The sequence below is a fragment of the Homo sapiens genome, chromosome 10 (assembly GCF_000001405.40).
Source record: "Homo sapiens chromosome 10, GRCh38.p14 Primary Assembly".
NCBI lineage: Eukaryota > Metazoa > Chordata > Mammalia > Primates > Hominidae > Homo > Homo sapiens.
The window spans coordinates 69,497,426-69,523,940 of NC_000010.11; the positions used below are offsets into that span (position 1 = coordinate 69,497,426).

At 47.7% G+C, this 26,515-nt stretch overlaps 1 protein-coding gene and 1 pseudogene across 11 annotated transcripts in view, besides 1 other annotated feature; one reads left to right on the forward strand and one right to left on the reverse strand.

Moving 5' to 3' along the window:
• TSPAN15 (tetraspanin 15) overlaps nt 1-26,515 on the forward strand; it is a 98,044-nt gene that overhangs the window by 45,961 nt on the left and 25,568 nt on the right. For 5 of the 11 annotated variants that reach the window (NM_012339.5, NM_001351263.2, XM_005269666.5 and 2 more), the window contains 4 exons: nt 855-971; nt 7,013-7,060; nt 8,699-8,815; nt 9,404-10,241. In NM_012339.5, the coding sequence (NP_036471.1) occupies nt 855-971; nt 7,013-7,060; nt 8,699-8,815; nt 9,404-9,553 (432 nt within the window). In that variant the 3' untranslated portion in view covers nt 9,554-10,241. Of the gene's footprint in view, nt 1-783; nt 972-7,012; nt 7,061-8,698; nt 8,816-9,403; nt 10,242-14,365; nt 14,446-26,515 lie in introns of those variants that run through there. The other 6 variants (XR_001747072.2, XR_007061951.1, XR_007061952.1 and 3 more) reach the window with 3 other exon arrangements.
• Nucleotides 18,314-18,363: a silencer, noted in NCBI's record as "silent region_2435". NCBI's record gives its function as "represses an Ori minimal core promoter by ATAC-STARR-seq in GM12878 lymphoblastoid cells {active_cell/tissue: GM12878}" and the evidence as "EXISTENCE:reporter gene assay evidence [ECO:0000049][PMID:35858748]".
• Nucleotides 25,798-26,234, reverse strand: TMEM256P1 (transmembrane protein 256 pseudogene 1; annotated as a pseudogene).

Below are 26,515 nucleotides of genomic sequence, written 5' to 3' on the forward strand. Positions count from 1 at the left end.
GCTTGTTTCTGCGTGGGGCCTTTGCATGGGTCGTCTGGCTTCTTTCTGTTTCCATGTTTCAGATGAAATATCCTCTCTACAAAGAGCCCTTTCATGACCTGCCAACCTAGAGCTGCCCCTCCCCACTTTCCCCCTATTTCTCCATTTCCAGGTTGCACAGCACCTTTCCATCCAGTGCTCACTCTCTGTCTCTCCACTGGAATGTGTTCCACCTGAGCAAGGGCTGCCTTGCTTTTGCTCACCCTGTCTCTCCAGTGCCCAGGACAATGCCAGGCACATACCAGCCATCAGGAGGGTTACCAACTACTTCCTACAGGAGCAGGGAGGGGAGGCAGGGAGGGGCTCGGCTAAGGGGAGAGCTCCAGGCAGGTTGTGAGGTGTGGGTGCTCTCCTTGCTAAGGGCAGGGCCAGCTGAGCTGGACGGGGTGGCTCCTAGGGTGGGTGCGAAGGTTGGTTGAGGTGCAGGGACTTTCACAGAATCATGCTTGGTCTCTGGGACTTTAAGGGCCATCTTTTCCAGCCTAGCACCTGCATTTGGGGACACGAAGATGAAGAAAGTGGAGGCCAGTTGTCAAGGAAGGACCTTTCCTCCCAGTGCCTAGTCACTACCCTGATATCCCACCAAGAGGCAGCCCAGCCTTGGCTTCCATACCTCTCTAGTGACAGGGGGTTCACTACCCTCTAGGCAGCCATGCCACACTTTGACAGCTCTGACTTGAAAGTGTACAGCCTCTCCCTGCCCCAGGGTGACCCACATAATAAACTGCCTCCGTCTCCTGACAGGGCCCCTTCCTGTCGTCTGAGCAGGGCCTGGGCGATGACGGCAGCTCCTCTTTCCTGCTTGCTTCCCTCAGTTCAAGTGCTGTGGCGGGGAGGACTACCGAGATTGGAGCAAGAATCAGTACCACGACTGCAGTGCCCCTGGACCCCTGGCCTGTGGGGTGCCCTACACCTGCTGCATCAGGAACACGGTAGACACTGCTCCTGTGGGGACTGGGGGGCTGTCGGGGACCCCAGGTGGTATAAATGTTCTCTTTTCTCTCTTCCCAACTTGAAGATGGGTGGTGTGGGTGGATGGCAGGGAAGTAGGAGTTGGTGGCAGAGCGGAGGCTTTCCTGATTCTCAAGGGCTCCTGAAAGTGGAGCTTCTGGGGGTCGGGGGTAGGGAGACCATGTCTTTCTTAGTGGTGTTGGTTAAAATCTATTGAGCACCTACCTTGTGCAGGCCTGCTCTGGGCACTTTGGTGGTATTTACTCATTTAGTATTCACGACAACCCTGTGAGGTATGTACTGTTATTTTACCCACTTTACAGATGAGGAAATTGAGGCACTCAAAGGCTGGGTGTCTTGCCCAAGGTTGGCAGGGCTGGGATGAAGTGCAGGCAGCTGTTGCCTGAGCTACACTCTGGAGAACTGTGCAGGCCAGGTGAGGGCAGGAGGGAGAGGTGCCCAGGCCAGGGGAGCTTAGCGGGGGTAGCTGGCTCTGCAGCATTAGTGGAGGCAGGCAGGACCTGCACCTTGGGCATCTCCATTGGTCTTTGGCCTTGAGGTCCTGGTGATCATCAGCAGCAGAGTGCTTGGAAGGGGGTCTGGTGACGTAAATGCCATCCTCTTCCTCTCCCCAGCACGATCCTCTCGGGTCTGTCACCTTGGTCATTTGGGATGATGTCTTGTGTTGTCAGCGCTTAAGTGAAAGGCTTCATCAGTCCTTGTGTTTGACAAATGTGTCCAGAAACTGTTTCAGGATTGGAACGAGGTGGAGAGCTTTGCAATTACTCATGGCCCAGATAGTCATGGAAAGTTTTTCTCCTGACATTGCCACCATTCTGTGCCCACTGCTGGATTCTGTAAACTGAGCAGCTGCGGGTGGGGGCCTCGCCCATGAGTCAGAGAGCCAGTGCCAAGTGCACTAGCTCTAAAAAAGGCCGGGCCAGGAGGGAAGCTTTGTTTGGAAGTGTTAGCTGCCATTTTAGGGTAGTTCTCTGGGAAGTGGGGTGCTGAGGAGTAGCAGAGTTTCCAGAGAGGCCTGCGTGGGGTGATCCTGAACCTCATCACCCAGGGCAGCAGCATCTGAATACCTAAGCTGAGATGTGGAAGCCAAACTTGTATTCATTCATTCATTCATTCATTCAACAAATATTGGCTGAGAACCTACTCTATGCCAGACACATTTCCAGGTTCTGGGGGTGTAGCAAACAAAGTCTCTGCCCGCAAGGAGGTGACATCCTAGTGGAGAAAACTGACAAACAAAATAAGTAAAAGATAGAGGATCATAAATGCTGAGTAGAAAAAGAAAGTAGGGCATGGAGGATTGCAGTTTGGGATACTGAGAAAGGCGGGATCTGGGTGAAGCTCTGAAGAAAGTGAGGAAGGTGTCTGGGGGAGGGGCATTCCTGGCAGCAAGAACAGCTGTGCAAAGGCCCCAGGTGGGAATCACCCCAGGGCGTTTGAGAAATGCACAGAGTGGCTGGAGCAGAGGGAGCACAGCGGAGGATGGTAGGAGGTGGAGTCAGGGAGGTCATGGGTACCCCGAAGGCCACAGGCAGGACTGTGGGGCACCCTTGAGTGATGGACCATACAGGGCTGCATGGAAGAGGGGCACTCTGACTTGGTTTTACAAGAATCAGTCTGGCTGTTGTGAGGGACATGCTAGATGCAGGGATAGAGTTAGGGGCTGATATGCAGTGATCCAGGGGTCATAGGTCATCTTGTCCAGGAAGGTGCTCTTGGATCAACACCTGTGGAAGTGGGAGCCAGAAGCGGGATTGGGCAATGAAGGGAGTTGAGCAGTGATGCAGCCTCAGCTCAGTTCGGCTGGAGGCCTCAGCCACATCTATGAGGACAGCCCTTCAGAGTTGTCCCCTACTGGGGTGAGGGGGCCAGGCCTTCACACTCCCACCCACATTGACCAGGCATTGCATGAGTCCAGTGGTCCACCCAAGAAGGGACTTGCTGGCTCTGTTCAGCCAAGAACAGACTAATACAGCAAGAGGAAAGAGAGGGATTGATTGATGATAAGGAATTGGCTTGTGTAATTATGGAGGCGGGCAAGTCCCAAGATCTGCAGGGTGAGTCGGCAGGCTGGAGACCCAGGAGAGCTGAGGGTGGAGTTCCCATTCAAAGGCTGGTCAGGCTTCAAACCTAGGAAGAGCCAGCATTTCAGTTCAAGCCCGAAGGTAGCCAAGCAGGGAGAATTCTCTTATGGTCACTGAGGAGAGGGCAGTCTTTTGTTCTGTTCAGGCCTTCCCTGATCAGATGAGACCTCTCCCCCTTGGGCAGGGCCATCTGCTTTACTTAGTCTGCTGATTTAAACATTAGCCTCATGCAGAAACACCCCCACAGAGACACCCAGGATAATGTCTGGCCAAATATCTGGGTATCCCATGGCCTGGTCATGTTGACATATAAAATTAATGATCACATGAAGTAGTTATTGCAGGGGGCTGACACCTAAGGGCTCCCCACAGCATCCCTGCACCAGGGAGGGGAAGACAGATGCTTGGAGCTGGGTGGTGGTGGTGGTGGTGGAAGTGGCAAACCGTGGTGACATTCTGGCTGTATTTTGCAAGTAAGCCTACAGGATTTGCTCGCATAGCAGATGTGGGCGATGAATGAAAGAGAGAAATCAAGGAGGATACCCAGGTTTTGGTCTGAGCCACAGGAAAGACGGGGCTGCCACTGCCTGAGAGGGGAGGACTGCAAGGAGGCAGGCTGGGTGACCAGGAGCTCACCGTGGACGTGGGGGGTTTGAGAGCCTGTTCAGCATCCCATCAGGGGTGTCAAAGATGCGGTTGGATATAGGAGTCTGGAGTTCTGGGAACGACTAGGCAAGGGGTGTAAACACGGACATCATCTGCAGATAGGGTAGAATCTAAAGACAGCATCTGAATGAGAGCACTGAGGTAGGGAGGAGCCTTCCCCTGGCCGGGGTTATCTGACCCTGTGTTACACATGACCATTGAGTCTCCCTGTGCCACCACACCTGGATGATTTTCTCTAAATGTGAAACAGGGCGTTCGCTTCCTCCATAGAACTGGTTGATTTGTGTCCAGATCTATTTATTTTACACTGTACTATTCAACCTGGGATTTGAATGAGTACACGGGAAATATGTAGTGTAAAAAACTAAAATAGCATTAAAAATCAGGACTGTGGGAATTGTATTCTCAGATAGGAGGCCTAGATGATGGAGAAAAATATAAAATCCTGCTATCTAAGCCTCAGGACCTCATGGACTCACTGAAAAGGAGCTGAGCCTCGTGTCTGGTGGCTTGGAGCAGGGCTCCCCTACCTCCAGGCCATGAACCAGTACCGGTCAGTGGCTTGTTAGGAACCAGGTCGCACAACAGGAGGTGGGCAGAGGTTGAGGGAGCATTGCCACCTGAGCTACACCTCCTGTCACATCAGCAGCAGCATTAGAGTCGCATAGGAGTGTGAACCCTATTGTAAACTGTGCATGCAAGGGACCTAGGGTGCATGCTCCTTATGAGAATCAAACTAATGCCTGATGATCTGAGGTGGAATGGTTTCATCCCGACACCATCACCCCCCACCCCCCCGCACCCCATCCTGTGGAAAAATTATTTTCCTTGAAACCAGTCTCTGGTGCCAGAAAGGTTGGAGACCACTGGCTTAGAGTTTCCTGGCAACCAAAAGGAAAAGGGAGACATGGTCTGTTACATTGTTACTGTTCAGCAGAACATACCAGCAGAACATACCAGTTCTTCAGGGAAAGTAACCTTTTCCCTAACACTCAGCTTTAAAAGAAATGTCTTATATGAGCTTCCAATAGAGGATTTGAGCCATAGAAGTTCACATAGGGCTGTAAAATCTGGTTATACCAGGATATATCCCTCGGAGATGTTGGTGCAGAGGGCAGCGTGCTTCTACATTAAATGGCTCCAGACTGCTGTGCCTGCTGAGCTCTTGGGACCAATTTTCACGTACCTCCCCTCCCTTGTTGTTGGCTACCCCTTGGGGGCCTGTCGCGAAGGCCCCTCTCCCTGTCCCCATTAGCTGCTCAGTCTTTTCAGGGTGAGAGGATGCACACACAAACATTGCTGTGATCTTCTGGCTGCCCAGGAGTCCCCCTTCTGACTTCCTGTCCTGTGGCCCCGTGCAGGATGGAAGAGGCTACTGGACCCTGGTCTTGGGGCCTGTGAACTTCAGCAGAGCCTCTTGCAGAATATCGATTCTATGGTCAGGCAGGTAAACCCAGGCAGGCTTTACTTTTGGAAAGACTATGGATGCATCGTATCCCCTCACCCCTTGGTGAGGGGCTCTCCTGGCAGGGTGAGGTGAGTCCCCCCTGGGCCTGGAGAAGGGTTCTGGGCTCTGATGCCAGAGAGGCCTCTGCCAGTTGCCTGTGTGCTAAGAGACTCATCCCCCGAGGTCACCAGAGCTGGCCCAGTGAAGTCACTCTTGTCACCTCCCTACGTACCATGCAGCTTACCTATTTGTTATGTTCATTATCTCCCTTTCTACAGTGTAAGTTCCATGAAGGCAGGGACTTTGTCTTGTTGTTCTGTATTTCAAGTGACTAGAACTGGGATTGACATGCAATAGGTGCTCAGTTAATATTTGTTCAATGAACAAATGAATGAACCAATGAGATGGAAAGCACTCACTCCCATCATGTGCCCGTGCACCTGCTCTCCAGGCCTGACCCTCTCCATAGGGGTTGTGTTTATGGCCTGGAAGGGCCAAAAACACTGGCTGACTAATGCCCAGTGGGCACTGGGCATGGCTGGGACTGAGGCTACCTGGAGAACCAGCTAAACCGAGGGAGGTCGTCTTGCCTGCACATCAAGCCCTGACATTTAGAATGACCTAGATGACATCTGAGGCCCAACCCTCTCTCGGAAGGAGAGAAGACACCCTCCCTTTCCTTTGCAGGGGCTGGAATTGTGAACAAATCACGCCAGCCAGCATTCTTGTGCTCCTCCATGTGCCCAGCCCCGTGATAAGCACTTTATATGTGTATCTCACTTTATGTCCAAAACAGCCCTAGGAGGTGGGTTCTGTGATCATCACAACCTATTCATTCATTCATTTTCTCAGTTAACAAATATGTATTGAGTACCTCTGCGTGCCAGTTCCTTAGCAGCCCACCTAAGGTTGGGCTCTGCTCCTAAGTGGCAGAGCAAGATCTGGACCCAGGAAATGTGACACCAGAGGGCACGCTGGGGGCTCTGCTGTTGCCCTCCTGAGTCATCACTGGCGCCTGCAGCACTCACGGCAGCGTTCACTTACATGTAGAGCAGCGGGGCTGGGGGGGACGGTCATGGGCTGGACCAGGAAGTCTCACTCTCTTCCCTGGTGGTTGGAGAAGGAGACCCTGCGGGGCACAGGTGGTGATGGGAAGTGCCCGCGGCAGCCTGTGAGTTAGGGCCTGCCTGGGGAGGGGTTTGATGAGGTCTAGGGCGTGACCACAGGTTTCCCTATGCCTAAATTAATCAGTAGTCGGGAGTTCTGGAGAGCACCTCTCTTCCCAAGAAGGAAGTTTTGGCAGCACTCTCCGCTGGTGGAGCAGTGGTCTATGGAACGGAAGCATGGCCAGGGGCCCTGCCCTGGACCTCAGGTAAACCACAGCTGACCCTGTGCCAGCTGTAGTCTGAAGTTTTCCTCCCCAAGAGCCAGCGGCGCAGGAACAGCCCCACCCCGACCTCTGAGACGGTGTGAGCAAAGCGGTGCTCTGGGGCGGTCATAGCCCGGGAGCGTGGGCAGCACACCTTTCTCTGGGGTCCTGATCTGCTGCTAGTGGAGGGGTGGTTCTCCCAGGTAAAAGTCATGGAACCTGCATTCCTACAGTTTTTTCACGGGGCATTTCTTGGAGGAGGAGGTGGTTATGATGGAGACTCAAGCCAGACTGCCTGGGTCGGAATCTCAGCTCCATCCCTGCTGGACGGTGCAACTCTGTGCTTCGGTTTTCATCTGTAAAATGGGTAGGATAATAGTGCCTTTTTGAGTTAGAACCATTATAAATATTAGCTATTATACATTTCCATTTCAGACAGAAGTTGTCAACACCATGTGTGGCTACAAAACTATCGACAAGGAGGTAATGTCTTTGAAATGCCTTTCCCTGGAAATGTTGCTCTTCCTGGTCCACCCTGGGGTGATCGGAGGGGTTTATTGAGGTCGGGGTCCTGGCCACTGAGATTTTCCCACATTCCTGGCTGTGACCCAGAGCCAGGACTGCTGTGGTTTTCCACCCCAGCACAGAAGGGCTCAGGGAACCAAGAATTCCCCCAGGCTGGGAGATGCCGCCTGTCAGGGTTTGCCGAGCACCTACTGTGGGCTGTTCCACATGAAGCCACCACGGCGCTTCCTGGTACCCGCAGCGTGCTGTGTGCCCAGCCATGCTCAGCACCAGCTTGCCTCTGCCCCTGGGGCCACCTGGGACCCAGGAGTCCTAGAGGATGGTAACCCCCTCTGGGGGTTGCTCCTGGGTCAGCTTCCTGGGCAACACCCCTGGTCTAGGAGAGAAGCAGGGGTGGTGCTGAGAAGGGACCTAAAAGGAATAGTGACCTGACATGCAGAGCAGTGGCTTTCAAAGTGGGGTCCCCAGTCCAGCAGCAACAGCATCCCCTAGGAATGTGAGAAATGCACATTCTTGGTATGGGGCTAGTGGGTGATTCTGACACATGCTTGAGAGCCATAGACCAGCAGTGGTTCTCAGCCCCTCAGAACCAATGGCCATTTTTATAACAAACAGTGGTAATGTCCTATTTATTATCCCCAAGTGAAATTCACAGATAACCTACCTACATGCCCAATTCCAATACAATTAACATAATGATCTGAGATAAAGTAGAAATGAAATACAGCAATTTACAGCTGTTTAACATAGTTCATCATGTAAGTGCTTAGGCAGTGGGGGGTGCAGAAGACACAATGTAGTCAGGTGTCTGCACTGATGTGAGGCATCCCTGAGGCTGTAGTAGCTACAGGGCAGCTGATACTGGGCATTGTGTTGGCGACTCACATACCATGGGCATCATTTTTGCCACTGGCATGGTTTTTAAAAACGGTGAACAATTCTTGATAAAGTTCTGAATTAAATAATGTGTAATCATTCCTTAATTTACCTAGTAGTACTTCTGGAAAATTCTTTGTATATTAAAACCAATGCAGAAATGCTTTTTTTTTTTTTTTCCCTTAAGAGACAGACAGGGTCTCACTGTTGCCTAGGCTGGCCTCAAACTCCTAGGCTTAGGCACTCCTCCCAACTGAGCCTCCATAGTAGCTGGGACTGCAGGCACTGGCCACCATGCCCAACTCTGCTTTGTTTTTTATATGTACCTGGAGTGGGGCTATTGGCTTGGATAATTATAAATAGGCTTTTCATGTATGGAAAACATCCGTGAGGCTTTTCATGCAGGGACATCTGAGAAGCACACAGGCAGGGCAGTTGTTTGTGGAGTAGGATTACCCTGAGCTCTGCAGTCCCTCAGCCGCCAACCTCGTTTGCTGGGGCAACCAAAAGTGCCACCACGGTGTCCCCAGTCCTCTCTAGAGAACAGTACTGTCCATTAAGAATCAGAATCTAGGGTCACCTTCTCATGCTGCATATGGGAAACTGAGGATCACAGCGGTTGAGGGACTAGCCTGGACCTTGTGTACATGGCAGAGTCGGGGCTGTGGCTCCTGCCAGCCGAGGTCCTCTGCTGGGCTGACCCAGCTCCTTCCCATGCAGCGTTTCAGTGTGCAGGATGTCATCTACGTGCGGGGCTGCACCAACGCCGTGATCATCTGGTTCATGGACAACTACACCATCATGGCGGGCATCCTCCTGGGCATCCTGCTTCCCCAGGTGGGCAGGCCGTGGGTTCAGAGAAAGTGTGACTTGGTGATTGCAGAAGGGCAGAGAAGGTGCAGAGGGGAAGAGCGAAGAGGCTTTTTTCATAGAAGTCCAGGACTTGCCTGGGGAGGGCTGCATGGCTGGAAGGAGGGGCAAATGGCAATAGCAGTCGTGGCGAAGCTCTTCCAAGTGCTGCGCAGGCACTGCTGCTTCACTTCTTTTTGTGAGGGAGGCACTATTATAATGCCTATTTCACAGAGGAGGAAACTGAGGAGCAGCAAGCTTCAGTGACTTGCCAAGATCCCCTAGATAGTGTGCAGCAGAGCTGGGGTGGAGGCAGGAATCCCAGAAGGGAGGGGCCCTTGCTGATGGGGCACAGCGAGGCGCTCTGGGATTTCCTGGGAAGGGGAGAGGGGGCCCAGGTGGGAGCTTCTTGGGCAGTGTGGGTGCTGGGAGAAGTCTCTGCTGTGGGTGTTGCCCAGGTCACACAGGACCATGAGGGCTTGGGACTGGCTGCTTGGGTTTCTGGGAGCCGGGAGCTGCAGGGAGGGCTGCCCTGATTCCCAGCAGGCCCTCACCAGCCCTGCCCCTTCTTCTCAGTTCCTGGGGGTGCTGCTGACGCTGCTGTACATCACCCGGGTGGAGGACATCATCATGGAGCACTCTGTCACTGATGGGCTCCTGGGGCCCGGTGCCAAGCCCAGCGTGGAGGCGGCAGGCACGGGATGCTGCTTGTGCTACCCCAATTAGGGCCCAGCCTGCCATGGCAGCTCCAACAAGGACCGTCTGGGATAGCACCTCTCAGTCAACATCGTGGGGCTGGACAGGGCTGCGGCCCCTCTGCCCACACTCAGTACTGACCAAAGCCAGGGCTGTGTGTGCCTGTGTGTAGGTCCCACGGCCTCTGCCTCCCCAGGGAGCAGAGCCTGGGCCTCCCCTAAGAGGCTTTCCCCGAGGCAGCTCTGGAATCTGTGCCCACCTGGGGCCTGGGGAACAAGGCCCTCCTTTCTCCAGGCCTGGGCTACGGGGGAGGGAGAGCCTGAGGCTCTGCTCAGGGCCCATTTCATCTCTGGCAGTGCCTTGGCGGTGGTATTCAAGGCAGTTTTGTAGCACCTGTAATTGGGGAGAGGGAGTGTGCCCCTCGGGGCAGGAGGGAAGGGCATCTGGGGAAGGGCAGGAGGGAAGAGCTGTCCATGCAGCCACGCCCATGGCCAGGTTGGCCTCTTCTCAGCCTCCCAGGTGCCTTGAGCCCTCTTGCAAGGGCGGCTGCTTCCTTGAGCCTAGTTTTTTTACGTGATTTTTGTAACATTCATTTTTTTGTACAGATAACAGGAGTTTCTGACTAATCAAAGCTGGTATTTCCCCGCATGTCTTATTCTTGCCCTTCCCCCAACCAGTTTGTTAATCAAACAATAAAAACATGTTTTTTTTTTTTTTTTTTTTTTGCCTTTCCTGTGTGCTGTTTTGTTGGGGCGGGGGTAAGGAAGGCTGCAACCTGGATTTGGAAACCCCTTGTGGATGCGAGGATGAAGGGGGTGCATGGGGTGAAGATTTGGCATAGCTTGGGATACAGGTGGGGGGTTGGGGGGAAAGCCTCAGGGCCAGAGGTGACCACGCCTATTTTACCGAGAACCGAGGGAAACAGCCTGGGCCAGGTACAGCATGAGGCTCCACCTCCAGGAAATGGGGTGGATGGGGTGGGGGACCAGGGAAGCGGAGTTGCCCACAGGTCCACCTACCGCGCTCCCTGCAGCCCTCAGTGTGCCTAATGGCTGCCGCGCAACGCATGCAGAGCGTGGTGTCGGTCGACCCCTGCTGGAGATGCCGGGACTTGCGTGCGTCAGTCCACTCAAACCTTCGGGCCAGAAGACATGGGATCTAGATTTTTTGTGAGGCTCTTAGTAGCCAGGGCAATAGAAATAAAGTAGCAAGAGGCCGGGCATGGTGGCTCACGCCTGTAACCCCAACACTTTGGGAGGCTGAGGTGGGCCATCACGAGGTCAGGTGTTCGAGACCAGCCTGACCAACATAGTGAAACCCCATCTCTACTAAAAATACAAAAATTAGCCGGGCATGGTGGTGCGCGCCTGTAGTTCCAGCTACTCAGGAGGCTGAGGCAGGAGAATCGCTTGAACCCGGGAGGCGGAGGTTGTGGTGAGCCGAGATCACACCACTGTACTCCAGCCTGGGCAACAGAGTGAGACTCCATCTCAAAAAAAAAAAAAAAAAAAAAAAAAAAAAAGAAGAAGAAATAAAGCAGCAAGAGCCCCAAACCTGAAGGATTCTAACGGTGGGAACCATCTACACACCCAGTAGTTAAGTGGTCAGATGCTTGGTCTGCCATGGGTGCCAAACGCATGTGTAAGAAGGGGCAGGAGGAGGGTATTTTAAAGTATGCAATAACACAACAATAACAAACACACCATAGAGCATACTTTGCCAGGAACGATATTAACTCCTTTAATCCTCACGACTAGGGTAATTCTTATCTTCATTTTATTAGTGGGGAAACTGAGGCACAGGGCAGTTAAGTAACTTGCCCAGGCAGGCAGCTGGTAAGTGACAAAGCCATGACTTGAGCCCAGATAGGATCTCTTGAGCCACTCAGCCCCTCTGCTTTACTGTCTCTGTTGCCTCCTGTGCACACATGGTACTAGGCATGCAAAACCAGTGGAGGCTGCAGCTGCTTCTGAAGCTCTGTCCTGGGGATATTCACTGTAGCCGCTGCTGCAGCCTCTGTCTTGTCCCACTTTGACCTAATGGACACAAGGCCAGGTCAAGCTCTGTGTCTGGCTGGAGGCCTTGTAGTCCTGGGGCTCTGGCTGTTCTGAGAACCCCTTTTGTGCCCAGAGGGGAGACGGCAGCTGCCTTTAGGGGCAGCAGGATGGCAGAGGCCCCGTAGGAGACAGGCTGGTCTGAATCGCTTATCCAAGGTCACCTTACCTGGACCCTGGAACCCGGACCCCTTGTCTTCCCTCTTTCCAGCACCACTCACAGACACCCCTCTACCTCACACTGCACCGCTGGCCAGCTGCTTATGTGGACCAGCGCTGGTGCCACAGATGGCTAAGCTCCAGCAGACACTCATCTCCTCTTTTCCAAACCTTGGTCACTCACCTCTAAAGAAATGGAAGCATAAATATCTTATTTTTTTTGAGAAGTGTGTGTTCATATCCTTCGCCCACTTTTTGATGGGGTTGTTTGATTTTTTTTTTTTGTAAATTTGTTTAAGTTCCTTTAAATTCTGGATATTAGCTCTTTGTAAGATGGATAGATTGCAAAAATTTTCTTCCATTCTGTAGGTTGCCTGTTCACTCTGATGGTAGTTTCTTTTGCTGTGCAGAAGCTCTTTAGTTTAATCAGATCCCATTTGTCAATTTTGGCTTTTGTTGCCATTGCTTTTGGTGTTTTAGTCATGAAGTCCTTGCCCATGCCTATGTCCTGAATGGTATTGCCTAGGTTTTCTTCTAGGGTTTTTATGGTTTTAGGTCTTATGTTTAAATCTTTAATCCATCTTGAGTTAATTTTTGTATAAGGTGTAAGGAAGGGGTCCAGTTTCAGTTTTCTGTATATGGCTAGCCAGTTTTCACTACACCATTTATTAAATATTAAATAGGGAATCCTTTCCCCATTGCAGGTTTGTCAAAGATCAGATATTGTAGATGTGTGGTGTTATTTCTGAGGCCTCTGTTCTGTTCTATTGGTCTATATATCTGTTTTGGTACCAGTACCATGCTGTTTTGGTTACTGTGGCCTTATACTATAGTTTGAAGTCAGGAAGTGTGATGCCTCCAGCTTTGCTCTTTTTGCTTAGGATTGTCTTGGCTATACGGGCTCTTTTTTGGTTCCACATGAAATTTAAAGTAGTTATTTCTAATTATGTGAAGAAAGTCAATGGTAGCTTGATGGGGATAGCGTTGAATCTATAAATTACTTTGGGCCATATGGCCATTTTCACGATATTGATTCTTCCTAACCATGAGCAAGGAATGTTTTTCCATTTGTTTGTGTCTTCTCTTATTTCCTTGAGCACTAGTTTGTAGTTCTCCTTGAAGAGGTCTTTGACATCCCTTGTAAGTTGTATTCCTAGGTATTTTATTCTCTTTATAGCAATTGTGAATGGGAGTTCACTCATGAATTGGTTCTCTGTCTGTTATTGGTTTATAGGAATGCTTGTGATTTTTGCACATTGATTTTGTATCCTGAGACTTTGCTGAAGTTGCTTATCGGCTTAAGGAAATTTTGGGCTGAGACGATGGAGTTTTCTAAATGTACAATCATGTCATCTGCAAACAGAGACAATTTGACTTCCTGTCTTCCTATTTGAATACCCTTTATTTCTTTCTCTTGCCTGATTGCCCTGGCCAGAACTTCTAACCCTATGTTGAATAGGAGTGGTGAGAGAGGGCATCCTTGTCTTGTGCTGGTTTTCAAAGGGAGTGCTTCCAGCATTTGCCCATTCAGTATGATATTGGCTGTGGGTTTGTCATAAATAGCTCTTATTATTTTGAGATATGTTCCATCAATACCTAGTTTATTGAGAGTTTTTAGCATGAAGGGGTGTTGAATTTTATTGAAGGCTTTTTCTGCATCTATTGAGATAATCATGTGGTTTTTGTCATTGGTTCTGTTTATGTGATGGATTACGTTTATTGATTTTCGTATGTTGAACCAGCCTTGCATCCCAGTGATGAGCTGACTTGATCGTGGTAGATAAGCTTTTTGATGTGCTGCTGGATTTGGTTTGCCAGTATTTTATTGAGGATTTTTGCATCGTTGTTCATCAGGGATATTGGCCTGAAATTTTCTTTTTTTTGTTGTGTCTCTGCCAGGTTTTGGTATCAGGATGATGCTGGCCTCATAAAATCAGTTAGAGAAGAGTCCCTCTTTTTCTGTTGTTTGGAATAGTTTCAGAAGGAATGGTACCAGTTCCTCTTTATACCTCTGGTAGAATTTGGCTGTGAATCTGTCTGGTCCTGGCCTTTTTTTGGTTAGTAGGCTATTAATTACTGCCTCAATTTCAGAACTTGTTATTGGTCTATTCAGGGATTTGACTTCTTCCTGGTTTAGTCTTGTGGGGGTGTATGTGTCCAGGAATTTATCCATTTCTTCTAGATTTTCTAGTTTATTTGCATAGAGGTGTTTATAGTATTCTCTGAAGGTAGTTTGTATTTCTGTGGGATCAGTGGTGATATCCCTTTTATCATTTTTTATTGTGTCTATTTGATTCTTTTCTCTTTTCTTCTTTATTAGTCTTGCTAGCGGTCTATTTTGTTAATCTTTTCAACACACCAGCTCCTGGATTCATTGATTTTTTGAAGGGTTTTTGTGTCTCTTATCTTCTTCAGTTCTGCTCTGATCTTAGTTATTTCTTGTCTTCTGCTAGCTTTTGAATTTGTTTGTTCTTGCTTCTCTAGTTCTTTTAATTGTGATGTTAAAGTATCAATTTTAGATCTTTCCCACTTTCTCTTGTGGGCATTTAGTGCTATAAATTTCCCTCTAAACACTGCTTTTGCTGTGTCCCAGAGACCCTGGTACGTTGTGTCTTTGTTCTCATTGCAGGGACATGGATGAAGCTGGAAGCCATCATTCTCGGCAAACTGACACAGGAACAGAAAACCAAACACCGCATGTTCTCACTCGTAAGTGGGAGTTGAACAATGAGAACACATGGACACAGGGAGGGAAAGATCACACACTGGGGCCTTTCAGAGGGTGGGGGGCTGGGGGAAGATAGCATTAGAGGGAATACCTAATGTAGATGATGGGTTGATGGGTGCGGCAAACCACCATGGCACATGTATACCTATGTAACAAACCTGCCCATTCTGCACAAGTATGCCAGAACTTAAAGTATAAAAAAAAATGAAATGGATGGAAGCAGAGTACCTGGAGAGGGCTTTGTCCATCCTGTGGTTGAGGACTCCCTGGCCATGACACCCTTTTGTGCTTTAAAGCCAATGAATGACATTATCTTGGCCTCTTGTCTCACAAGGATGGAACCATAAATGAGTCCTTTCCCACACCATGACACACATAGAAAATAATAATATTTGTGCAGCCTACATCATTTGTGAAGTTGAGGAGGTTTGTGGGCTTTGCTTTTTGATTTATTTGTTAATAATTATTTTTTATAAGACACATTAAGGAAGACTGATTTTGTATAAAAATGTCCAATACCATATTCTTGAAATATATTTTTAACAATTTATGGAGGTATACTGGATATAAAATAAACTGCGTGTATTTAAACTGACAAATGTGTCAGTGAAACCATCACTACAGTCAAGATAATGAACATATCCATCACTCTAAAAAATGTCCTCTTGTCCCTTTGTAATCTGTTTATTATAGCCCTTCCCACCATCCACAGCCTATGCTTAAGCAATCAGAGCTCTGCTTTCTGTCTCTATAAATTACTTGGTATTTTCTAAAATGTTATATAGGTGGACTCATACAGCATGCACTCTTTCTGTCTGGCTTCTTTCACTCAGTAATCATTTTAAGATTCATTCATTTTGTAGCATATATCAGAAGTTCATTTCTTTTTATTGCGGAGCAGCATACTGTTGTATGGATACACCATGGTTTATTTATCCATTCACCTACTGATGGACGTTTTGTTTCCAGTTTTTTGTTGTTGTTACAAATAAAGCTGCTATGAATACTTGTGCATGTGTCTTTATAAAAACACATACTTTCATTTCTCTTGGGTAAATATCTAGAAGTAGAATGGCTGGATTATATGTAACTATATGTTTAACTTTTTAAGAAACTGCCAAACTATTTTCCAAAGTGGTTGCACAATTTTGTATCCCCACCAGCAGTGTATGAGAGTTCTGGTTTCCCTACATCCTTGCCAGCAGTTGGTATGGCCAGTTTTTCTTAGTCATGCTAATGGGTGTGTGGTGGTATTTTGTTGTGGTTTTGATTTGCATTTCCTTAATAATCATGTTGAGTACTTTTCGTAGACATATTTGCCATCCACATAATTTCTTTGCTGAAGCGCCTTTTGAAATATTTTCTTAAAAAATTAGATTGTTTTTGTATTATTGAATTTTGACAACTCTTTGTATATGCTGGATACGGGTCCTTGATTAGTTATATGATTTGAAAAATTTCAGTCTGTAGCTTGTCTTGTTCTCTCTCTCTTTCCTTCATGTAGAGATTGGGTCTCACACCATTGCCCCGGCTGCCCTTGAACTCCTGGGCTCAGGATCTTCCCACCTCAGCCTCCTAAAGTGCTGGGATTACAGGCATGAGCCACCGTGCCCAGTCTGTGGTGTGTCTTTTCAGTCTCTTAATGGTGTTTTCCAAAAAGCAGGAGTTTTTAACTTGATGAACTCCAACTTATCAATGTTTTCTTTCATGCGTGATGCTTCTGGTGTCATAGCTAAGAAATGTTTGCCTAAACCAAGATCACAAAGGTTTTCTCCTACATTTTCTTTTAAAAGTTTTATAGTTACGTTACAATTATGTAACGCTCTTACATTTAAGTCAAGGATTCATTTTGAGTTAATTTTCTAATATGCTACAAAGTACGCATCAAAGTTAATCTGTTTTGTACATGCATATCCAATTGCTCCAGCACCACCTGTTGAAAGCAGGGATGAATTTCCACTGAATTGCCTTGGCACCTTTGTTGAAAAGCAATTGTCCATGTATCTGTAGGTTTACTTCTGGATTTCTCACTACGTTTTGGTCAATGTTGTATAGCAAATGTCAGAGCAGACATCCTTGACTTGGTCCTGATCTTAGGGGGAAAGTGTTCAGTCTTTTATCATTAAGTATAATGTTAGATGTAGGTTTTTCATGGACATTCTTTATCCAGGTTGACTAAGTTCTCTTGTATTTCTAGTTTACTCAACATTTTTGTTGGGACTAGATGTTGGATTTTGTCAAATGCCTTTTCTGCATATTTTAGAATTTGCGAATATGGTGAATTTCATTCATTTTCACATGCTGAATTAACCTTGCATTCCTGGAATAAGCCCCATTCAGTGATGATATAGTACCCTTTTAATATATTGTTGGATTTGGTTTGTTGAAATTTTGTTTAGGATTTTTGCACCTTTGTTTAGGAGGATTGTTTTCTTGTAAAATCTTTGTCACATTTTGGTATCAGAGTCATGCTGGCTTCATAGAATTAGCTGGGAACTGTTCCTTCCTTTTCAATTTTCTGGAAGAGTTTGTAGAATTGGTGGTATTTCTTCTTTAAAAGTTTGATAAAATTCACTAGTGAAGCTACCTGGAAAATCTTCTTTGTAGGAAGATTTTAAACTATAAATCTAATTTCTTTAATGGATATAAGACTACTTATTTCTTCTTGAGAGCTTTGGTAGTTTTTTCCTTCAAGGAATTTGATAATTTCATCTAAGCTGTCAAACTTATTGACATAAAGTTGTTCATAACACTCCCTTATTATTCTAGAATCTGTAGTGATTTCATCTCTCTTATTCCTGGATATTGACAATTTGTCTTTTTTTCTCTTTTCCCTAATTAGCCTGGCTAGGGGTTTATAGATTTTAAAGATCTTCTCAAAGAGCCAGCTGGACCATTCTCATGAGCATATAAATAATCTCTTAGTATTCCCATCTTAAACAAGGATACAGACAAGCAAGGCCCTCCTGATGATTTCTCCTCTCCGGCCCCTGCCCTGTCTCTCTTTCCCTTCATAGCAACTGCTTTGAAAGTGTCTGTCCTCTCTGTTTCTGGTTCCTCTTCTCCCATCATTCTTGGACCTCCCTAATTAGACTCTTGTCCCACTTGCCCCAAATTGCTCTCATCAACATCACCAGTGACCCCTGCATTGCTAGGTCCTATGTCCCTGTGGCATTTCTCAGCTTCTTGGCTTGTCTGCCACATGTGGCCAGTTGATCATTCTCTCCTCCTTGAAATGCCTTCTTGTTTTTCCTCCAAGAGACCAACCTTGCCTAGTTTTTCTCTTACTTCTGAGGCCCCCTCTTATGAGTCTCAGTTGTTGATTTTGCTTTCCCAACCTCTTAGCATTTGAGGGCCTCATCTGTCTTTTCTATCCACAATCCCTTGTTGACCTCATCCAGCCTGGAATTTGAGGTCCTATCCACCACTCTAGCCTCAGTCCTGGGTCCCTGCTCTAGTCAGCAGGTCGCCAGGGCTGACTCAGTTCATTCGTAGCTCACACGGTTCCATCTGTCCTCTCACAGGAAGATCCAGCTCCCACCACTTTCACGTCCTCCCCCACCTTCCCATCTCCTCTGAGGCTCATTTCAATTCGGTGTGTGGAGGGACTTCTTTTATGATCACCCATTTTGCAGGAGAGGAAAGATAAAGGCCAGACTAGCTTAGTAAGTTGCAGTCCAAGAGGCCCTGCCAGCAACCTCAGATCCTGACTCCTTCCAAGCTCTTGCCTTGGCTGCCACCTTCCTGGGGCCTGAGAAGCACCTGGAAATATTATGGGGCCACAAGCTCTGGCACAAGGTCCTGGCTTTCCACAGCTCGTGACCCCTTGGAGGGAGCCTGATTTGCAGTCCTAAAGCCCAGGCAGAAGGCACAAACGTTCCCAGCAAGAAAATGAGCAGAGCTGACATGGGGACATGTGGTCGCTAGGTGGCGCGGCTGACCCACTACTTGGCAGCCAGCACTCAGCAACTCCACCCTCTCCACTCCCTAGAGCCTGGGCACCTGCCTGGGTGGCAGCAGGAGTCTGCTTTCCGCCCCCTACCCCAAAAGAGCAGACCACAAGGTGAGGGAGCCTAAAATACTATAGGTCCTGATTGTAGTAGGTGCTCAATAAATAATTATTGACTAAAAGAGTGATCATTTTGTGAAGTTCGGATAGATGAGACTTTCCCATTCCCATTTCATAGGCTGGGAAACTGAGGCCGGATACTAACGATAGGAGTAGCAACCAAGGTTACTGTTATCGACTCTCATTCGGTCACTATGTACCAGGCATTTGCTTAGCACATTTCATTCTTCATCCCATTTAGTCATCACAGCAAAAAGGCAGGGCCTTTATGATTTGCATTTGGCAGGTAAGGACATAGGGGCTTAGAGATCAGCTGACTTATTCAAGTCATACAGTTAGTGGAATAAATGGAAGAACCAGGATTTGAACCACTCTGCCTGCATCTGAGTAGCTGAATAGGATCAGGGCCAGTGCTGCCTCCTTCCCCCACCAATAGGATCTGAGGTGAAGTGCCCCAGCAGTGCCTCCACCTGGGCATCATGTGGCCACCAGAGGGAGGCCTCGGTCTTTAGACAGCTGCAGAGGGGCCTGGACTGAGGCTGGGGAGGGTGGCCATGACTTAGATGCCAGAATGAGAAGTGGGAGTACTAGGGCTCTGGAGGGCAGGTTCTTCATCTGCAAAAGCAAGAGGATGATCCCCACTTGGCCGGGTCTCTGTGAGGAGGACATGGGATCATGCATGGAAAGTTCTTAGCCCCTGCGAGGGCTCAGCACCCACCCCTCCCCCAGCACTTGCCCTTGCACTGAACAGGCTATATAGTAACAGGTCATGATAATAAACTGCAATCACTGAGGGTATCCATTTCACTGATTCGTTTTTGTATGGTCAGTCTCCCCCACTGAGGGGTGGGATGGTGATCTGCTTTCTGCTCTGCTGTCTCCTGAGAGATGAGGTTGTGGTGCCTGGGACATAAGGGGTGCTCACTAAGCAGGTGCCAACCCAGGGAATGGAAATGGCCTGGAGCTGTGGCCCCTGCACTGTCTGGGCCCCCAGGACTCAGTGGGCTCACTGGATCCCATGTGTGAGCCCCAGAGGGCCAGGCTCAGCATGTTGGACTCCTTATAGGCTGTGGCCAAACCTTTGTCCCTCTCTGACCTCTGCCTTCTCCTCTCCAGAAGGGGCATCTAAGGCTTTCCAGGTGTAATGGCTCAGGGAGTGGCTGTGCCAGGTGTACGGGTGCCCTTTGATGTCACCTGTCACCTCGCTGGTGGCTGCGCTCTCCCTTCCTCTCGCTGCTCCTGTGTCTTCTCCTCCATCTGCCAAAGTCACCATGCCAGGGCTGCCCCCAGCCCCAATATCCAGTGGAAAAACCCAGAGAAATCACACAAATAGAAAATATCCACATCAACTTGAGAAGCTAAGCCTGCGCTTGAGGCAGTTCTTGGAGCAGCTTCTAGCAGGGGCCCAGACCAACACCATCAGCAAGGAGCTGCCGGGGGCTCGGCCCCCTGAAGGAGGTTTTTATGACTGGCCTTAGCTGCCCTCCTGAGGCTGACAAGGGCTCCACTGGGGAACCTCTGGGCAAGTCGGTGGAGGGCCCCTCAGCATCATCTGGGCCTTGCTGGCAGCAAAAGTGGGTCTCAGAAACCAACTCCCATGAGAGGAGCCACCTGGATAGAGAGTGGGCAGTGAGAGCAGGACACAGGTTCCACCACAGAGCAGCAGAGACACCCAGAGGCTCCTGGTCCATGGTGCCTGGGGGATCAGAAGGACTCACACCCGGAGGGGAACGGGCCTGTGGAGAATGTTACCCTGGCCAGGACCCGGCTGGCACCACACGCCCCAATATCCCTGCCTTGGCTCTGTGAGGAGGGCTCTGCCAGGGTTTGAGGGGCCTGCGTGGGAGCCAGGGCAACCCATGCATCCAATGCCCTGTGGAAATAACTCTCCATTAGAGGAGCCACCAGGAGGAAAACTGGGCCCATGGGAAAGGGGGTAGCTACAGGGAAAGGAGAACAAGAGGGCGAGGATTGCGTCTTACGATCACTGTAGCTCCTGCACCTCCCAAGACACATAGTAGGTGCTCAATAAATCTTTGTTGACTGGACACACAACTCAGAGTACACCCTTCCTCAGTTCTACATTGCATTGGCAAAGACAGAATATGTGTACTTCAGGCTGTATGTAGGGTACAGAGAATACTTCTATTAGATAAGGACAATCCGTGGTAGGAGACAGTGATAAACAAAAAATACAGTAACTGACTTCAATTTGCATTGAACGCAATGAATAGCAGATCTGAAAATGTAAAAATCAAATGCAAGATATCAAAGGGCCAGATGGAGAAATGTGCAAAGAATGCAAAGGAAAAGGTTATGGACAGAGCATCACTGAGAACACACAAGGACAAGGGTCACGGGTGTCTCACCCGAGTGCCTGCCATGCCCTCCCTCTACCAACACCCCCGCCACCCCAGAGTAAAGGAAACAGGAATAAATAGAAGTTATTAAAGAAGTAAACTCTTGATTTTTTTTCTTTTTCTTGAGACAGAATCTCGCTCTGTCACTAAGGTGGAGTGCAGTGATGTGATCTCTGCTCACTGCAATCTCCACCTCGTGGGTTCAAGCGATCCTTCTGCCTCAGCCTCCTGAGTAGCTGGGACTACAGGCGCACACCACCATGCCCAGATAATTTTTGTATTTTTGGTAGAGATGAGGTTTCAACATATTGGCCAGGCTGGTCTCGAACTCCTGACCTCGTGATTTGCCTGCCTTGGCCTCCTAAAGTGCTGGGATTACAGGCGTGAGCCACCGCACCCGGCCATAAACTCTTGATTTTAAAAAGTAAAAGAACTCAGTAAAATTAACAATGTGCAACTCCTGTGGCAGTCCTTCCCAATGTCTTCAATGCTTATAGAGAAACATGGTATCTATGAGTTTCCTGGGTAAAGGGAGGAGGCACCCAGGCCCTGGGCTTAGGGGATTAGAAACTCAACTGCCTGTGGCCCACTCACTGCCCACAGATGAGCCCTAGAGACAGTCACATAGGTGCTCTAAGAGACGGTCACGAGGGTGTCTGTTGCAGCACTGTTTATAATAGTGAAAAATGGGAGGACTGTGGTATGCTTCTGCGTGGAATAGTATACAGCTATTTAAATGAAGGAACTAAAGTTCCATGTATCCATGCTCAAGAACACAATGCTGAGGAGAAAAGCTAGTTGCATAGTGATACGTAGGGCTGGGCGCGGTGGCCCAGGCCTGTAATCCCAGCACTTTGGGAGGCTGAGACAGGTGGATTGCTTGAGCCCAGGAGTTTAAGCCCAGCCTGGGCAATGGGAGACCCTGTCTCTACAAATAATAATAATAAAAAAACTATCTGGCCGTGGTGGGGTGCTCCTGTAGTCCCATGTTCTTGGGAGGTTGAGGTGGGAGGATCTTCTGAGCCCAGGAAGTCGAGGCTGCAGTGAGCAGTGATTGCACTATTGTACTCCAGCCTAGGTGACAGAGGGGAGACCCTGTCTCAAAAAAAATAATATATTGCTTATGGATGTCTATAAGAAGAAAAGTAAAAAATAAAAACTAGAAAGAGATATATCAAATTCATGAGACTCTGTAAAGGGAAAAGGAAATGCGCCTGTGGATCAAATGATATTTGACTTTGTACAGCTTTATTTATTTTCTTTAAAAATCAGAAACAAAAATGTTCAAATGTAAATATTTGTTCATTAGGGATATCCATAGATGGAAATGTATGTTATTCTCAGTAGCTTTCTCTACTTTTTGGTGAATTTTTTTTATTGTGCTAAATATATTAATACATAACATAAAATTTACCATTGTAACCATTTTTTTTTTGAGAGTTTTGCTCTTGTTGCCCAGGCTAGAGTGCAATGGCGTGATCTCGGCTCACCGCAACCTCTGCCTCCCGGGTTCAATCAATTCTCCTGCCTCAGCCTCCCGAGTAGCTGGGATTACAGGCGTGTGCCACCACACCCGGCTAATTTTGTATTTTTAGTAGAGATGGGGTTTCTCCATGTTGGCCAGGCTGGTCTTGAAGTCCCGAACTCAGGTGATCTGCCCGCTTTGGCCTCCCAAAGTGCTGGGATTATAGGCATGAGCCACTGTGCCCAGCCCCATTTTAACCATTTTTAAGTGTACAGTCCAGTGCCATTAAATATATTCACCATGTAGTGCAACCATTGCCCCTATACATTTCCAGAATGTTTTCTTCATCCTAAACAGAAACTCTTCACCCATTCAGCCATACATCCCCACTTCCCCCTCCCTCAGTCCTTGTAACCTCTATTCTATTTTCTGTCTCTATGAATTTGCCTTTTCTAGGCTCCACACAAGAATGGAATCACACAATATTTGTCCTTTTATGCCTGGCTTATTTCACTTAGCATAGTGATTTCAAGATTCACCCATGTTATAGCATTTGTGTCAGAATTTTGTTACTTTTTATGGCTGAGGAATATTTCTGGCTGGGTTGGTGGCTCACACCTGTAATCTCAGCACTTTCAGAGGCAGAAGCAGGTCGCTTGAGTCCAGGAGTTTGAGACTGGCCTGGGCAACATAGGGGACCCCATCTCTACAAAAAATACAAAAATTAGCAGGCGTGGTGGCATATGCCTGTAGTCCTAGCTACTCGGGAGGCTGAGGTGGGAGGATCACTTGAACCTGGGAGGTGGAGGTTGTAGTGAGCCGAGATTGCATCATTGCATTCCTGCCTGGGCGACAGAGCAAGACCTTGTCTCAAAAACAAACAAACAAAAAAATCCATTGTATGCATATACCACATTATGTTTATCCATTTATCTATTGATGGACATTTGGGTTATTTCTACATTTTGGCCATTATGAACAATGTTGCCATGAATGTTGATTTACAAATATCTGTTTGAGTTTCTGTTTTTGGTTCTTTTTGGGAGTATACATCTAGAAGTGGAGTTGCTGGTCATATGGTAATTCTACATTTAGCTTTTTGAAGAACTGCTGAGCTGTTTTCCATAGTGGTTGCACTGTTTTACATTTGTACCCACAATGCCTAAGAATTCCAGTTTCTCCACACCCTTGCCAACACCTGTTATTTTCCTTTTTTTTTTTTTTTTGGACAATAGCTGTGATAGGTAATTTCATGTGTCAACCTGACTGGGCTGAGGGCTGCCCAGATAGCTGGTAAAACATTATTTCTGAGTGTGTCTGTGAGTGTGTTGCAGAAGAGATTAGCATTTGAATCAGTAGACTGAGTAAAGAAGATCTCCTTCCCCAGCGTGGGCAGGCATCCTCCAATTCTTTGAGTGCCTGAATAAAACAAAAAGGCAGAGGAGGCCAGGTGTGGTGGCTCACGCCTGTAATCCCAGCACTTTGGGAGGCTGAGGCAGGCAGATCATGTGAGGTCAGGAGCTTAAGACCAGCCTGGCCAACATGGCGAAACCCTGTCTCTACTAAAAATACAAAAATTAGCCAGGTGTGGTGGTGCACACCTGTAGTCCCAGCACTTTCGGAGGCTGAGGCGGGCAGATCGCTTGAGGTCAGGAGTTTGAGACCAGCCTGGCCAACATGGCCAGAAACCCTGTCTCTACTAAAAATACAAAAATTAGCCAGGCGTGGTTGCAGTGAGCCAAGATCACACCAGTGCACTCTGGCCTGGGTGACAGAGCAAGACTTTGTATCAAAAATGAATAAATAAATAAATATATAAAATAAATACAATTAAAAATAAAAGAAAAAAAGCAGAGGAAGGGCAAATTCATTTTTCCTGCTTGAGCTGAGACATCATCTTTTTCTGCACCTGGACATCGGTGCTCCTATCTCTTGGCCTTTTAGACTTAGAGCAGGACTTACAACATTAGCTCCCTGCTTCTCAGGCCTTCAGACTCAGACTGAATTACATCACCAGCTTTCTGGTTCTTCAGCTTGCAGATGGCAGACTGGGGACTTCTTGGCCTCCATAATGACATTAACCGATTCCTGTAATAGATCTCCTTTATTGTATATCTCTCTATATGACATTGGTTCTATTTCTCTAGAGAACCCTGATACAACAGCCAACCTAATGGGTGTGAAGTGGTATGTCCTAGTTTTGATTTGCATTTCTCTAAGGACTTGTGATGTTGAGCATCTTTTCATGTGCTTATTGGCCATTTGTATATCTTCTTTGAAGAAAAGTTAATTTGGGGCCAGACATGGTGGTTCACACCTATAATCCCAGCACTTTGAGAGGCTGAGGTGAGCAAATCATTTGAACCTAGGAGTTTGAAACCAGCTGGACAAATGGCAAAACCCTGTCTCTACTAAAAATACAAAAAAAATTAGCTGGGTGTGGTGGCAATGCCTGTCATCCCAGCTACTGGGGAGGCTGAGGTAGGAGGATCACTTGAGCCTGGGGAGGTCAAGGCTGCAGTGAGCAGTGAGCGCAGTGGCATGATCCCACAACTGCACTCCAGCCTGGGCAACAGAGCAAGACCTTGTCTCAAAAAAAAAAAAAAAAAAAAAAAAAGAAGGTCAATTTAAGTCTTTTATCCATTTTTGAACCAGATTGCTTTTTTTTTTTATTGTAGGAATGCTTTATATATTCTAGATATCAATCACTTATCAGATATATCAGGAGTCTCTGACCCCCAGGCTACAGACAGGTACTGGTCCATGGTCTATTAGGAACCAGGCTGCACAGCAGGAGGTGAGCAGCGGGTGAGCAAGCATTTCCACCTGAGCTCTGCCTCCTGTCAGATCAGTGGTGGCATTTGATTCTTATAGGAATGCAAACCCTATTGTGAACTGTGCATTCAAGGGAACTAGGCTGCATGCTCCTTATGAGACCCTAATGCCTGTTTCATTCCGAAACCATCCCCTTCCATCCAACCCCCATTCATGGAAAAATTATCTTCCATGAAACTGGTCCCTGGTGCCAAAAAGGTTGGGGACCGCTGAGATATATGATTGGCAAATATTTTCTCCCATTCTGCAGGTTGTCTTTTCATTTGCTTGATAGTGTCCTTTGATACACAAAAGTTTTAAATTTTGATGAAGTCCAATTTATCTATTTTTTTTGTCACCTGTACTTTTGATGTCATATCCCAGAAACCATCACCAAATCCAATGTCAGGAAGATTTTCCCCTGTGTTTTCTTCTAAGAGTTTTATAGTTTTAGCTCTTACATTTAGGTCTTTGGTCCATTTTGAGTTTTGTGTATATCCAATTTTTGTATATGGGGTAAAGTAATTGTTCTTTGCATGTGGATATCCAGTTTTCTCACCATTTATTTAAAAGACTGTCCTTTTTCCTTTGAATGGTCTGGGCACCATTTTGTTTTGTTTGTTTGTTATTTGCCTTTCCCTTTTAATCCTTTTTCTGCTCCAACTCTCAAAAAATTGCCCCCAAAACCCAGTAATTAAACAAAAGGGAACTCAAAGAGCCAAAGAAAGCCAGCCCAAGAGTAGCAGGCTCCCTCCCACAGGGGCCAAAGTCTGGATGCTGGGGTCTCCACCCCAAGCCTGGTAGTAAAAGCTGGTGAAGAATAAGGTCATTCCAGAGGCTAGCAGTAACCTGGCCCAAAGGGGCTTTCTGCAAGAGGGCACCCCTAACAGGGCCAGACTGTGTAAGAAGTGGTACTTGTTGGCCTTGTCAAAGAGCTCCTTCCCAGAGGCATCTGGGAATTGGGTGTCATGTACCCGATAGGAAGCCAAGCCAAGGGCCCCAGCTCTGGACGAGGCACCCACGCCGGTGGAAAGCTGCCCCTGGCCCAGCCATGGCTGTGGATTGTCAGGCGCTGGATGAACAAACATCCTTGACACCCTTTTGGAAACTCATTGGCCATAAATAAGTTTTATTTCCGGGCTCTGTACTTTATTCAGTTGGTCTGTATGTCTGTCCTTAGGCCAGTACCAAATGGTTTTGATTACTGTAGCTTTGTAGTAAGTTTTGACATTAGGAAGTGTCAGCCCTCCAACTTTATTCCTCTTTGCCAGGATTGGATTGGCTATTTGGGGTCCTTTTTCTATACTTTTAGACTTGTCAAAGGAAAGGGGATGGGGTGAATG